General features: G+C 37.2%; 1 protein-coding gene across 11 annotated transcripts in view, besides 1 other annotated feature; it reads right to left on the bottom strand.

Annotated features, from left to right (window-relative positions):
* FRMPD4 (FERM and PDZ domain containing 4) overlaps positions 1 to 14,805 on the bottom strand; it is a 902,085-nt gene that overhangs the window by 268,965 nt on the left and 618,315 nt on the right. The gene's annotated exons all lie outside the window — the stretch shown is intronic.
* Positions 11,628 to 11,717: an enhancer, noted in NCBI's record as "active region_29411". NCBI's record gives its function as "activates an Ori minimal core promoter by ATAC-STARR-seq in GM12878 lymphoblastoid cells {active_cell/tissue: GM12878}" and the evidence as "EXISTENCE:reporter gene assay evidence [ECO:0000049][PMID:35858748]".

Below are 14,805 nucleotides of genomic sequence, written 5' to 3'. Positions count from 1 at the left end.
TATTCACGAATCATCTTATATAAGAAGCCTAGGGTCTTTTGTGGAACATAGGAGATGTTTTATTTTAGACAGGCAACACAGATGCAATGAAATGAATGATGAGGACTTAACATGCTGGGCAATAGCAATCTATCACCAGAGTCTCCCATTTTATACTCTACACAAGATTACCATTATTTTAATTAAACAATAACTAATTGGTTCTGCAAAACCTTGTATTTCCAGTCCTAACCTTTTGTCAGAACTATAGGATAAAGTTACTTTGAACATATACGGTGGTGATGAAAGGATCCTGAAAACGTGTCTAACCCTGTCAGGCGACATTCTGTTAGTGGAAGAAGCACAGGGTGCTTTTTTCTTTTATTTTTAATAAACTTTTTATTTTGGTATAATTTTAGGTTGCAGAGAAGTTGCAAGGATAATATAAATAGTTCCTGCATGCCCTTCACCCAGCGTCACATGATATATTTGTCAAAACTGAGCAATTATTTTTGGTATATTACTGTTAACTCCAGACTTTATTCTAATTTTATAATGGCTATATGGTAATTGTTAAATAATAGGATAATGTGTGTAATGTTACAGAATTTATAAGTTGTTTTCACTTAATAAACTTCCATTTACGGCCCTGCATCAACCCTGGAGAGATAGGTAGGCTTAGTGATACCTCACTGAAAAGATGATGAGGTTATAGTTTCTTGAAGTTTAGTCTAATAGGTAGAGCTTTAAAAAAAAAAAAAAAACGTGGCTTTCTAACTCCAAACCTCATGCTTTCTTTTATCCCACTGAACTCATTGTCTCTGAAAAAACGAGGTTTCCCACTGTGCTGGAAGGATCAGCTCACAGTGATGGATAAGAATCTGCAGCAAAGCTTAACATCTGAGTTCTTCTTTTAGAACACATCACCAGTATGTCTAAAAATTAACTCCTCACGTGGGCTTGCTTCTCTCTTTTTGTTGTAAACCTACATTGGGAAATCTGGTCTTGATCATCAAAACATCATTTTCCTTTGCAAAAAAAAAAAAACCCTCCAGCAATTCTTTGACATTCAATATTCTCGGCAGTCCACGATCACGTGGTTATTCTTAATTGCATTGTGGAATCTTGCAGTATTGTAGTTCTTCCAGAAATTTCATTGTTTCAACACTCACATGACTTTTAGAAGAGATTATAGAGCAAGGAATGTCTTCTTAGCTTAGAAAATAGGAATTTGTCATACAAGTGTTTTCCAAGTACCTTCTCTTAAAAATATTTTGTATTCCAAAATCTCTAAGATATCACTGGTTTCTGAAAAATCAAAGCTTACAGATCCATCATTGAAATTTTAGGAAAAAGATAAGCTCATTGATTGATTTATGTCTGGAAGCACAACTCATTTAAAATGTTAATATTCACATAGAAACTTATGAATCTGAAGACCAACTTTTAGCTAAGACAATGCTATTTTTGAATATTCTAAGAAGTCATAATAAAGATTAGTTTTCTTCTGCCTTTTTAAAAAACTTCCCTGGACAAGTAGCAAATCTGCTTACAAACAAAGCTTTCCTGCACCATATTTATTTCATCTGCATTTACAAAATAGAACATGTGGAAATAACAACTAAGCCTTCACGATAAAACAGAAGAATAAAATTTGAATGTCAACCTTTTGGTTTGGTATGTTAATATGTTCGATTGAGGAGCGTAGAACATTAAAATAAAAGTCAGAGGTTCACTGTTGTATAAATAAACTCATAATCCATGCAAATCATCAAAGTGCTCATTCTATATCAGAAATCAAAACTTGGCTGAATTTTTCAGATGCTGTTATCCCTAGCTCAAAGTCATGTTCTGTTTTTACTTTATTCTGTCACATAAAAGGGCTTAATACGTGATGGTTATAAATGAATAAACGATAGAATATAGTGTGAAATGTTGCCTACTGGGAAACCCAAACTTCCTGTAACCAGCTTTATGGTCCTTGATATCAAAATAACTCGGAACTGATACTGAGGGATGATACGCTAATGAAAAAAACGATGACCTTATTGCCACCATTTTACTCCCACCAATGGAATCCAGAAATACTTCCTCAGAATTACCAGGAAAGATTGTGCTGGTTTTAAGAAGACATAATTTTTTTCCTATTAAATACCTTAAGTAAATTATTCACTTCAAAAGTAAACAAATATAAACAACAAAAAATCTAAAACTAAAGGAGCAACCTTGCCATTCCCTCATTTTTTTTCTCTAACCATTCCAGTATTAAGACTGACCTCCTGTAGCTACTTTGCTTTAAAAATATATCTGCTTTTCAAGAAGCAGAACATCGTACTCTTTGGACAGTTGCTGAGGCGTAATTCTCTCCTTTATTTGCTTAATTTGCTCTGCCTACTGTAGGAAATTTTGAAAAATCACATGAGATAAACACAACACCTTAAAATGGGCAACAAAACTCAACATAACCACTGACCAACAGTGCTTCTATACTACTTGCCTCTAAGTAACAATGCCAAATAGGTGGTTTTTTATTTTATTTTTGAGTAATGAGAGTCACATTATATAATTACACTTTTTGGACATTCTACTCTACCTTCTACAGGCAAAATCAAAAGTAGAGATAATTATATCCATGCCGGGCTGGAAGCCTGGGCTTGCCATTTGGAGCTCCAGGACAGTGGCCATCAAGCATTCATCATGTCTGAGCAGACAGGACAACGTGTAAGGCAGTTTTGAGGTGGTAATTCACCAAGCTACAGGAAGCCCTCACAGCAGTGCGTTTTTAGAAGTAGCAATTTTAGTCTCATCAGTGGTAATTTACAAGTGATTTAATGGTACTGAATCATGGACCTGTTTCAACATTTATGAGAGGACATAACATGTTATGACAATTTCACAGTACAAAATGAATATTAATATTAAAAATAGGCTTGCTTTTAACTGATATTCAATTTGGGAGATGTTCAATCTTTTTTTGAGGGGGCATACTTTTCGTTAAAACATAGGCCTTGCAGGAGAGAAATGATAATGCTGACAGAGAACAGAGGGACTGACAATGCAGATTACTGCCATGTTGGGAAATTGGCATTGGCCCGTTATACCAGCTGTTTTCTGCTGATTATGGCAAATTCTTAATCACTTTTCCTTGCTCTCCTCATCTAGTTGTTGGGAAAAAAAGATGTCAAGATAATACTCATGGCAATGAATATGATGCAGATATTAAACAAAAGTTATTCCATGATATAATGTATGACAAAGTAGATGGATATCCATCTGTAAATCCCATTTTAATTATGAGTGATCTAAAATTATTTTTGAAAAATTTAAAATCATTACTATTTGAGAATGACAATTTAAATGGGAGATTCAAAGTAAAAAATAAGCAATTTGTATTTATCCTGAAAAGATAAAGCTTTTTTTAGTCAGAGTCATCCTTTCAGATACAGCAGCCCTTGTTGGTCTCGGTTTTGCAATTTGGGTGCTGGTTGTGGTTGACATTATTATCCCTGTAAACAGAGGAAAAACGAGTCAGCAAAGGAGATAATATTCTACTGAGATAATTATACAGCATCTCTTCTGATACAGTCCATATAATGTCTCATAGTATAAGTATTAGAGAATAGTAGAAAGGTAGCGGGAAAAGATTAGAAAAGAGAAAGAATAGAGCTGCTAGAGATAAAAGTTCAAGGAGAAGGTGAGAAGTGAACTCAGAAAAAATAAAGTAGCTATTGAGGCTGGAAAAAAAGGAAAATGTATTTAATATGCAAACACTTGGGACACAGACAGGAATGGAAAAGAGGAAAGTAAGTAGAATTCACACACACACACACACACACACACACACACGGGCATACACACATATCACTGAGGGTATCAATAGTGGGAAGCTGTAAGCAATATAAAATTTGAAAACAAGGTTTTACAATGTAAACTAAGAAATGACTGTGCTAACAGCCTGAAAACTTTTGAGACAAATACAAGCAAAGATATTACATATTTAAAGACCTTTTCCTGGTTCTTGACCTGTGAGCATATTTTTATATACACAGAAATAGGTATCAGTCAAAATATGATATGTATGCCATCTTTGTCCCTTTCCTTCAAGACCACACCTTCTGAAAATGTCCCTCAACTCTCTTCCCAATTAAACAGACGGAAAATGTATCTCATGGAAGGAGAAAATTAGAAAACCCATGAAAGACCAAAAGAGATTCTTCAAAACCATTTTCCAAACACAATTGGGTATTGTCTGAAAAAGAGGAAAGTGTCATTAATTATCTGTTCATTGGAGGGGGGCAGGGATGAGCTGAGGGTTCTAAATACTATGAATAAAAGAAGGCAAAACGTCTGGTCTCTCTGGATCAGGCAGGTTTCAATGAGAAGAGGGAATCCGAGCAAAGACTTGAAGGAGGAGAAGACATGAACCATGCAAATACCAGGGGAAGTGATTCAGGTCCAATGGAAGAGCCAGTGCGCAGATCCTAAGGCAGATATCTGCTTGCCACATTTAAGGCTGGTGGATCTGAAGTGGAATGAGCAGTAGGAAATGATGTCATGGAGGTAATAGGCCAGGTCCTGAAGGGCCTTGTCGACCATTCACTGTGAGGACTTCGCCTTTTTTTTTTTCCTGAATAAGATGAGGGGCCACTGGCTTAATGTACTCTAGTTTATGTCTCTCAGTCTGTTTCTCTCTCTCTTTTTTTTTTTTTTTTTTTTGGATAAATAGAACAACACTGAGTCCAAACCAAAGAGTTATTTCCATTGATTTATTGGCAATTATTCTGGGCATAGAAGGTCCCCATCAAACATTCTATCTCAGTTTAGTAGATGGTTACATGTTTATTTGAGGAAAACTATGGCAGTTTTTGCTGGCTGCTATCCAATAGTCAGCTTCCCTTCTTCCTTGGTAAAATAATCTCTCTTTCAAAAAGTATGAGTATGAGCAGTTAAAAGGCTATGTTTCCAGTCTTGGAGCTCACTGAAGCCATGTGATTAAGCTGTGGGCAATGATATTGCAGTGAAAATATTGAATGGGATTTCCATGAAATTTGCTTTATGCTGAGAAATCATATGTCTTTCCTTATTTCTGTCTCAATCCTTTTCCTATTCTCTGGAATGTAGAGGTCAGTGTCATGGATTCATAGGCTACCTTACAACATGAGATGAACTTGAAATTAAAAGCAATTCACTATAATGGTAGAACAGAAAGTTCCCTTGGTGACTGTGCAGTGTCCAACCAAGCCTTGTCCTACCCAACTTCCCTTTTTTTTAATAGGACAGATAAACTTCTGTCTTTTAACACCACTGTTTATTATCATTATTATATATAACTGTTACTATTAATTTTCTATTACAGGTCATAGAACCTAACCCAAACAGAGAGAGTTAGGATGTTTTATCCCTATGATTTCTTTTTATTAATTTTGTAGCTTTTGTTTCTATTTTTTTTTAATCATTCCTTTGGCTTTTAAATAATACATCTCTCTCCCCTAATATTAGCACAATGGATTTAGAAAATCTCTTCACAGGAATAAAAGGAGAGCCAGTTCAAATAATTTCTGCCTATAATTTCTTTTTTTTTCTTTTCTTTTGAGACAAGGTCTCATTCTCCCACCCAGACTGGAGTGCAGTGGCGCAAACATGGCTCACTGCAGCCTCCACCTCCCAGGCTCAAGAAATCCTCCCATCTCAGCCTCCTGAGTAGCTGGGACTATGGGAATGTACCACCGTGTCCAGCTAATTTTTAAATTTTTAATAGAGATGGTGGTCTCCCTATGTTGCCAAGGCTGATCTCAAACTCCTGGGCTCAAGTGATGCTCCCACCTTGGTCTCCCGAAGTGCTGTAATTAGAGGCGTGAGTCACCCTGCCTGGCCTGAACTGCCTATAAATAAGGATATCATGAGTAGTGAAACATAAAATCAGAATCCAAGATGAAGGCAAGAGACAAACTGGCTAAAGTTATCATAAACAGAGAGAACAACAATCTTTATCCTGTACTAAATAAGTGAAAAGCATCATTATTAGTAGTAGCATGATTTGTGTCAGTATTATATTTTGTTGGATTATTCCATTATTTTAAGAAAAATTTTTCTGGCTAATTCTCCAAGTCCAGTCATTCTGATAATCCAATTTCAGTTACTGAAAAAACGACAACAGTATCTTATATTTTGAGTGCACTCAGCTTCCAAAGCAATTTGAGATATATTACTGTCTCAAATACTGACAACAATATTGAGATATAGGGTAGTTAAAATGGTAACTCTTACTTAACACTCAAGGACAGTGAGGATCAAAAAGTTTGAGCAACTTGTCCACAGTTGCCCAGTTGGGAAGTTAGAAAAAAAGTTTTAAGAATAATTTTTCTGATTGCTAAATCCAGTATTTGTTTATCCTATGGTTTTTCTCTCTAAAGAATTTCTCAGAGAGCAGAGGGTTGACCACAATCAGTTTGGCCTAAATACGTATTGTGAAAATTCCTTCATTTAGAATTTCAAATAGCATGGGACACTCATGGATTTCTGCATGTATGAACAGATCAGCCAGGTATGAAATAGAGAATTAATTCCTTTAAGCCTTGTATCCAGGGTGCTTGGCCATCAGATAGCTAGTTTTCTGAGCAGAGGTGGGCTGTTCAAGCGGGATCCTAAGCACCCTTAAGCATCAACCAGAGGGGACATTAAGTCCATGCCTGCTCAACATGGAGAGTATGGTTGTGTGTATATTGGATTGGTAGCACTACTCAGTAGGAAAAGACTGACATGAGATCAGATGTGTCTTTCCACACTCATTGTATCCAAAGATGTTTAATCTTCAACATATCACTTAATTTGAAATCAAATATGTAAATGTTAAGAGCATGAAATAGAAGCACCTTCATTTCAGTACAAGCGACCTATGATCCCTGTATTTCCATGAAGATAGCAATAATTCCTATTAGTCTTCCTTGCACAAAAAAACAAACCCATTTGCCTGGATAATTTAATATTTCCTAGGCATATGCCAGGAATGTTATTTTCTTTCCAGCCAAAGATTGCTTAACTCAATCAATGGCAGAAGTAATAAAATTCAGAAGGACCAAAACTGTACTTATTGGTCTTGAATTTGCCTAGTCTACATTGTACATTTTAGCAATTTTTATTTACAGGAAAGGAGCTCATTTTATTTATTAAAGTGTTTCGGGGCCAAGAATTAGGTAGTTGTTTTTTGTTTGTTTTTGGTTTTTGTTTTTTTACTCAAATCCTGTGATCCTCTTATTGTCCGATAACATGAATTTTAAATAATAAATTTTTATTCTTTTCAGCTCTAAATGTAGTTACCGTTAAAAGGACAAAATTCTAACAAATGCATAGATCATTTCATTTATCAGAAATAGGAATTCAATAAATTTTAAGAGAGGCTTGTTTTGTCTGGAAACAACAAAATGTTTTCACTTTGACTGAGTATACAAACACTCCATCATTCCCTGAACATGCACAGTCAGAGGATTCTAAAAAGATTCAAGCATTACCTGCTGCATGTGATTAATTACCATTCTACAAATATCACCTTTGTTTACCACGACAGTCCTCTACAAGGACAGTCACCACCCGTGACACCTAAATCCAAAGCATGTTTCCTAGGGAAGTTGAAAGTAAGATTTATGTTGAAAAGACAGCTTTATATTATGAAAGCAGATGTTCGAAGGCAACACTGCATTTAGTTTGATGTGATGAAATAGAAAGGAAACACAGTGAGAATTAAGGGACCTTAACAGAGGGATGATGCTTATTTTTGTATGTTGTTTTGATAATAACTGCAGTGGCCCCATGTGTCATGCATTGTCTTAACTGGATTTTACCAGGAATCTGTACAGACTTCAATTTATATATTTCACATGTAAACAAACAGAATAAGGCCCTGGATCCATGACGTAGGTAGGCTGTAAAATGACTAACCACTTGCAACCTAGGGAAATATAAAAGACCATAAACCACTGACGTGTTGCATTGATTCCATCTGACTCAGAAAAGTTGCAGGAGGGGGCAGGCTTGTTCCAGGCATGCTACTTGTGAAGTGCCTGTTCTTACATGAAATTCATTTAAAAAGTTGTCTGGTGTTCTCTTCATTACTTTAGACTGGTGATTCTTAATAAAAGTTGTCTGGCGTTCTCTTCATTACTTTAGACTGGTGATTCTTAATGAGGGGGACTTGCCCTTCTGGGGACACTTGGCAATATCTGGCAATACTTTTGGTTGTCACAACTGGGGGGTGAAAAGCAGTGCTTATGACGTCTAGCATTAAGGCCAGGGATGCTGCTAGATATACTTCAAAGTACAAGGTGGCTCTCAAGGACAAAAAATTATCTGGCCCCAAATATCAACAGTGCCGAGGTTGAGAAATTCTGCCTTGGTCATCCATGTTGCTTCCCTGATAGGTTTCTTGCCATCACTGATTTAGGACTGGGGTATTAATTTCGTCATTTGGAACCACAGGAGCCTAGCCCAAAGAGTCCCTGGGATCTAGTCTTTGGCTGCTAGGGATCTGAGGGACCAGACTGGCTTGGTGGCAAAAAGGTCCACATTGCATTCCTCCACTGGAGAGCTATGGGCATGCTGGGCAGGACAAACTTTGCTATGCAAGATTGCCCACGCTCCTCACCACAGTCAGCATTCCATCCCCCAACCACCAAACGCCAGCAGTGCTCGCTCTCATTGCGACAGCTACATCATGCTCATAGCCATTTCCAAATGCCCCAAAAGGGGTGGAGCCACCCCTGGTGTATTAGTCAGCCTTCATGCTGCTGACAAAGACATACCCGAGACTGGGTAATGTGTAGACAAAAGGAGGTTTAATGGACTCAGTTCCACATGGCTGGGGAAGCCTCACCATCATGGTGGAAGGCAAAAGCCACATCTTACATGGTGGCAGACAAGAGAGAAAATAAGAGCCTAGCAAAAGGCGTTCCCCCTTATAAAACCAACAGCTCTCATGAGACTTATTCACTACCACAAGAGAAGTGTAGGAGAACCACCCCCATGATTCCATTATCTCCCACCAGGTCCCACCCACAACACGTGGGAATAATGGGTGCTACAATTCAAGATGAGAGCCTCTTTGATTATCTTCTTCCCACTAGAGGAATACTAATTCCTTATTCCAGGCCCTCAAAACACCTCAATTGCCCCAAAATGTGTGCTCTAAATAATGTTTTTCAATATTCTAATATTTTCAGTATTGCAAGTTGCTACTTAGTGGAATGCAAAATCTCTGCAGTGGGTGGTGGCTAGTATGAAAAGTTAAATAGACTAAAATAGCAAGCATCAGTGTTTGTCATACATACTAACTACAAATATTCTGTTCATTATTGATTGTTTTATAAATATGTACATATGTATGTCCTGAAATGTATTATACAATGTATTTCTAACTGTGGGTTTTGATCAAACAAGATTAAAAGTCAGTGGTCTAGATAGCCTCTCCCTTTTCTACCCAGTCCCTGAGAATAAGAGTTTACAATTTCTCTCTCTCTTGCTCTCAACTCTCATCTTTGAGTTCACAGACCCAAGTCACATTAGCAGTAAGAAGCCCAATCCATTGAACAACCCTTGTGATAAAGCATCTCTCATTTTGTAAACAATAGATGTTATCAAACACAAGAACATGTGAGACCTGCACAGGCTTGGTCTTTGTGCTACAGTTTGAAAATCCTTTAAACAAATCTGACATACATTGTTGAACTGGCTCATGGCTGTTGCCAAAATCTTTTAAAACAGAGTAGAAATGCCATGTCAGCCATGAAACATTTTTCATAATAAAAAAGTACATAATAACAATACCCCACTTACCAACAGCTCAAAATTCATATTTATTCCTGTCTAGTTGCTATAAGTGCACAGACTTTGCTTCAACTTCCATTTCACTGCTGCCTCTTATTAGCTGTTGACCGTGAATGCATTACTTAACCTCTTTTGAATAAGTTGCATCTGCTATAAAATAGGGATATAAATGGATATATAACTACCGACCTTTTACATTTGTTGTCAGGAATAGAGAGAATGTAAGCAAAAGGTGCTAGAAGAGTGTCTTATACGTGACAGGCATTCAACAAATGATCTGATTATTATTCCCAAATCTGTTTTTGCACATCTTTTCTCTAATTCTACTATTTGAACTTTTGTCAGGTGGAGTTCTTCCACAATTTCCATTTTTATTTATTTTTAAAGCCCCTCAAGTGAAGCATGAGATACTACCAATGTAGCACAGAATGCTCTACGTCAGCATTCTCAAACGTTAGCACACATTACAATCACCTGGAGGGCTTGTTAAAACATATTTTCTGATTCAGTAAATCTGTAGAGGGACCTACAGTTTTTCATTTCTATCAAATTCCCAGGTGATGCTGTTGATGCCCAACCATGGACCACTCTTTGAGAAACACTGCTCTACATGAAATTTTATGATAACTAATGCAGTGGCCATTGCAAGAGGAACTAACCAATCCACACCTCATCCATCATGAAAGCCCTGGAGCCAGCTAAACCAAGTTCTAAGACAGGGATAATGAGAGAGCTCCCAAAGGATCAAGAACAGGAACTTTGTTGTAATAACTTTCCCAAGTCAAACTCAGGTCAGGATGGTTGCTTGTAGAATAAGTGAAATATGTACTGCAGTGCTAAGGTTTAAATGTGTTCCCCAAAGTTCATGTGTTGGAAACTTAATCCCCAATGCAACAGTGTCGGAAGGTGGTGCCTAATGAGAGGTGATTTGGTCATGAATAGATTAATGTCCTTATCATGGGAGTGGGTTAGTTATCTTGAGAGTAGGCTTGTTATAAAAGCAAGTTTGGCCCCTTCTTGCTCTCTTGCACTCTATTGCTCTTCTGCCTCCCATAATGCAATGATACAGCAAGAGGACCCTCACCAGATGTCAGTGTCATGCTCTTGGACTCCCCAACTCCAGAACTGTGAGCCAATATATTTCTCTTGTTTATAAATTACCCAGTATTCTAGGCAATTCTGGTATTTTGTTATAACAACACAAAATGGACTAAGATGTGGAGAAAGAGAGGAACAAGATAAAACCCTGCCCTTAGGTCCCAAGAACTTCACTGTCTAGTAGCAAAAGAAAAAGTACAAATACCATGTCTCCATTTTTGAAGTTGCAAAGGTAGTTCTCTTCTCATTCTCATAAGAAAATGTCTTGACAGCTGTTCTTTACAGCCCTCTTTGCATAGAGCTTACCACCCCCTTTATTCTCTATTGTCAACATAAACACACATCCACCTAAATTAATGAAAGAAATAATTATGTTTTTGGTCAGGCAAGAAATTTTCCTTTAGGAACCTCTTATTTTCCATATTCCTTAGAAAACCTCAGCTTTTGGAAAGAGATCTGCTTATTTCCCCATATTCTATTTTTTTTTTTCTTTCTCTGCTTCATGAATAACCCCTATGTCTCCCTACAGGAGAATGAAAACCCTACATCTCTCTGAAATCAGGGGATGGGCAGAACAACATACAGTGAGTTAGGATGTGTTCTATACTATGCTGTCAAGACCTGAAGGAACCGAAAACCATCAGGTGGACAGAAAATTAGAACATGAAAAAACGGGGACTTTCAAGATAAGTTAGAAGTGTCAAAATGAGTATTAGGCTGATTCAGAAAGTAGAGAAATGACGCAAATGATATGCAAGTTGAAGTTTTTCAAAGAAGGCTAACTCACCATGTGGCTGGGACACACTTATCCAGGAGGTCAAAATATGAATGGTAAATGGGTTCAATTAGTATCTTTGTGTTTTTTTCCACAAAAAGCAAAAACATCTGCGTCCCACATTTACTTTGGCAGCATAACCAATAACGCTAGAAGGTACAAACAAGCTGGCCCTAAGAATAATCACAACCCAATGAAACCATGTTTTCATTTGTTTCCACTTCTACTAAACTCTCTCAAGAGCTTAGGCTATTTTAGTCTTCAGATGTAGCCTTATTACACACACAAAACCCATAAGCTAGCAGCTATTAACAACTATTACTTAGACCCACGCCCTCTACTATGGTGGCCGCCAGTACCATGTGATATTTGAGTTTTTAAAATGTGGCTAGTCTCAGTTGAGATGTACTGTGAGTGTAAAACTGAATTTTTAACACTGAGTACAATAAAAAGAATGTACAGTATTTTACCAATTTAAAAAAACATTGCTTATATGTTAAAATGATATTTTGAATATAGTTTAAAAATGAAGTGCATTATTAAAATCATATGCACTTTTTCACCTATCAATGTGTCTAGTAGGAAATTTATAATTATACATGTGGCTTGCGTTGTATATACATATTAAGCTATGGATTTATTGAGATATGATTTACATACCATATAATTCACTCTCTTGAAGTGTACAACTCGCTGATTTTTACTACATTCACAGAGTTTGCAACCATCACCACTTTCTATTTTTAGAAAACTTTCATCAAACCCAAAAATAACCCTTTGCCTGTTAGCAGTCACTCCCTATTCTCCCCTCCCTGCAGCCCACTGGAAACTACTAATCTAATCCTTGTCTCTGTGGATTTGCCTATTCTGGATATTTCGAACAAATAAAATCATACAATATGTGGTCTTTTGCAATGGGCTTATTTTGCTTCTCATAATGCTTTTTAAGTCCATCTAAGTTGCATCATGTACCAATACGTCACTCTTTTTATGGCTGAATAATATTCCATTGTATGGATACATCCTATTTTCTTTATCATTCATCACTTTATGAATATCTGTGTTGTTTTCATGTTTTGTCTATTAGGAATAATGTTGCTATAAACATTCATGTACTAGGTTTTGTGTGGACATTGTTTACATCTCACTTGGGTATAAACCTAGGAGTGGAACTACCAGGTTATATAATAACTCTCTGTGTAACATTTTGAGGAACAGCCAGTCAGACTGTTCTCCAAGATGGTCGCACCATTATTTATTCCCACCAGAAGTGTACGAAGTTTCTAATTTCTCCATGCCCTCATCAACATTTGTAATTTTCTGACTTTTTAGTGTTAGGAATCCTAAAGAATGTAAAGTGGTATCTTATGGTTTTGGTTGCATTTTGTTTTTATTGGACAGTTTTGAATTAGACGGTCTTTACAGGAGAACCACAAGTACTTCTATTTGTCAAATTCACAAGGAAAGTTTGGCTGCATTACTTGCATCCTAGATGTTAATTTTCTCTGTACTTATTTCTTCTTTCACCTAAGACCACCTTGTCTCCATGGCAGTGTTCATAGTTATCCTGTGCCCACTGTTAATATTTGTATAGCAGACTGGAACAAAATAGACAAGATTGCTCACAGCCTGAGGCAAACAGCCCTGTGACTCTAGCCACCCTGAAGACTAGGGAGATAAAAATCTTGGCACACATATAACCAACCATATATTTTATCATTCATATTTATCATCCAAACTAGGACAATGGTTCTAGTGAAAGGAGGCACTATTAATAATTTTGCTGGGACTACAGATATAAACCAAGACTGCCCCAGCAAACGGTGACATATGGTTACCCTGCCTCTATCCATTTGTAGCACAGTGATTGGGAAGTTCTGCTCTAGAAAGCTGTGCCTCTCTGAAAGGAGCTCATTACACTGTGCTTGGAAACATCCCAACTCCCCAAATTCTTGTGGCTAAAGTCACTAAAGAGCTATGTGTTGCTAAACTATATCGATGAGAATTGCTCCCTAGTGGTCAGTTTCAAGAACCATGGTTCCATTAAAATAATCTCCTTAGGTGGAACTTCTTGGAGGGAGGGGCTCAATAGTTAAAAGGCATGTCATTATCATTGTGACAGCCTTAGTACCTGGAAGTTGACAGAATTGAGAGACCTTGTTCTATACTTTGCTACTACACCATTCATTTATTCCCAAACACTCAATTCTTAAAAAGAAATACTCCAATGTGTCTTGCCAAAGACTCTTTTCTTCTTTCCCCAGCTTCTCAGTTTGCTCCTTATTGCCTCTAAATAATGCAGAAGGCAGTGGCAAAATGCCCTGCCCCAGCTGCCTATCATTTTGCATCCTGGGAGTCTCCCACAGGAATGAGGGGGAGTGAGTGTGATACTAGAGGATCCTTTTGTCGTGGAGGTATTATTTGAAGGAGAGAGAAGGGGGAAAAAAAACAAACAAATGAATAAATTATGATTTCAATAGATGTTATTTTCCAGTTGTGTACTTTGTTATTTTTAATTGTAATATTTAGAGTTTTATAGGCCAAGCAGCAGAGACAGCCTCCTGGGGAGACTTCCTCCAAATTAGAGGGTTTTTTAAATATGCAATTTGGGCATCAGTTTAAGGCCATTCAATTTCTCCCCATGAGATTTTAGACAAAGCCATGTAGCACTTCATGGACTTCCAAATTATGCTCTGTAGTTTCCCTAAGAGATGTCCTGCAAGGGCTGGCGATTGTAAGTTTACAGTTGCCTCCAGCTGGGCTTTCAACAGCACAGTGAAGAGGAGGTTGTTCTGTAGGGGCTGCAGTCTTTCTGAATTATTCGCAGATACATGCAAATGAAACTGGAGAGGAGATGCTACCCAACCTCCTAAATGAGCATCAAAATCTAGTTAGAACTACTAGAACAACTATTAGAAGAATTATGACATTTACCATTTGGCAATTCTAATAGCTAGAACTATCAGAAGAATTATGACATTTACCATTTTGGGGAGTAGGGCCCTTCACTATCTATCTCTTTGGTTTCTTCACTGAGAATCCTGTTTCTCATTGCCTCTTAATCTGTCACCAACCATACATGGTACTCTATAAGTAAGTTTATAGGGCACTATAGTGCATACAGTTGGTGTCCTTTC

Source organism: Homo sapiens, chromosome X (genome assembly GCF_000001405.40).
Source record: "Homo sapiens chromosome X, GRCh38.p14 Primary Assembly".
Taxonomy (NCBI): domain Eukaryota; kingdom Metazoa; phylum Chordata; class Mammalia; order Primates; family Hominidae; genus Homo; species Homo sapiens.
This window is presented reverse-complemented; position numbering and strand designations above follow the sequence as displayed.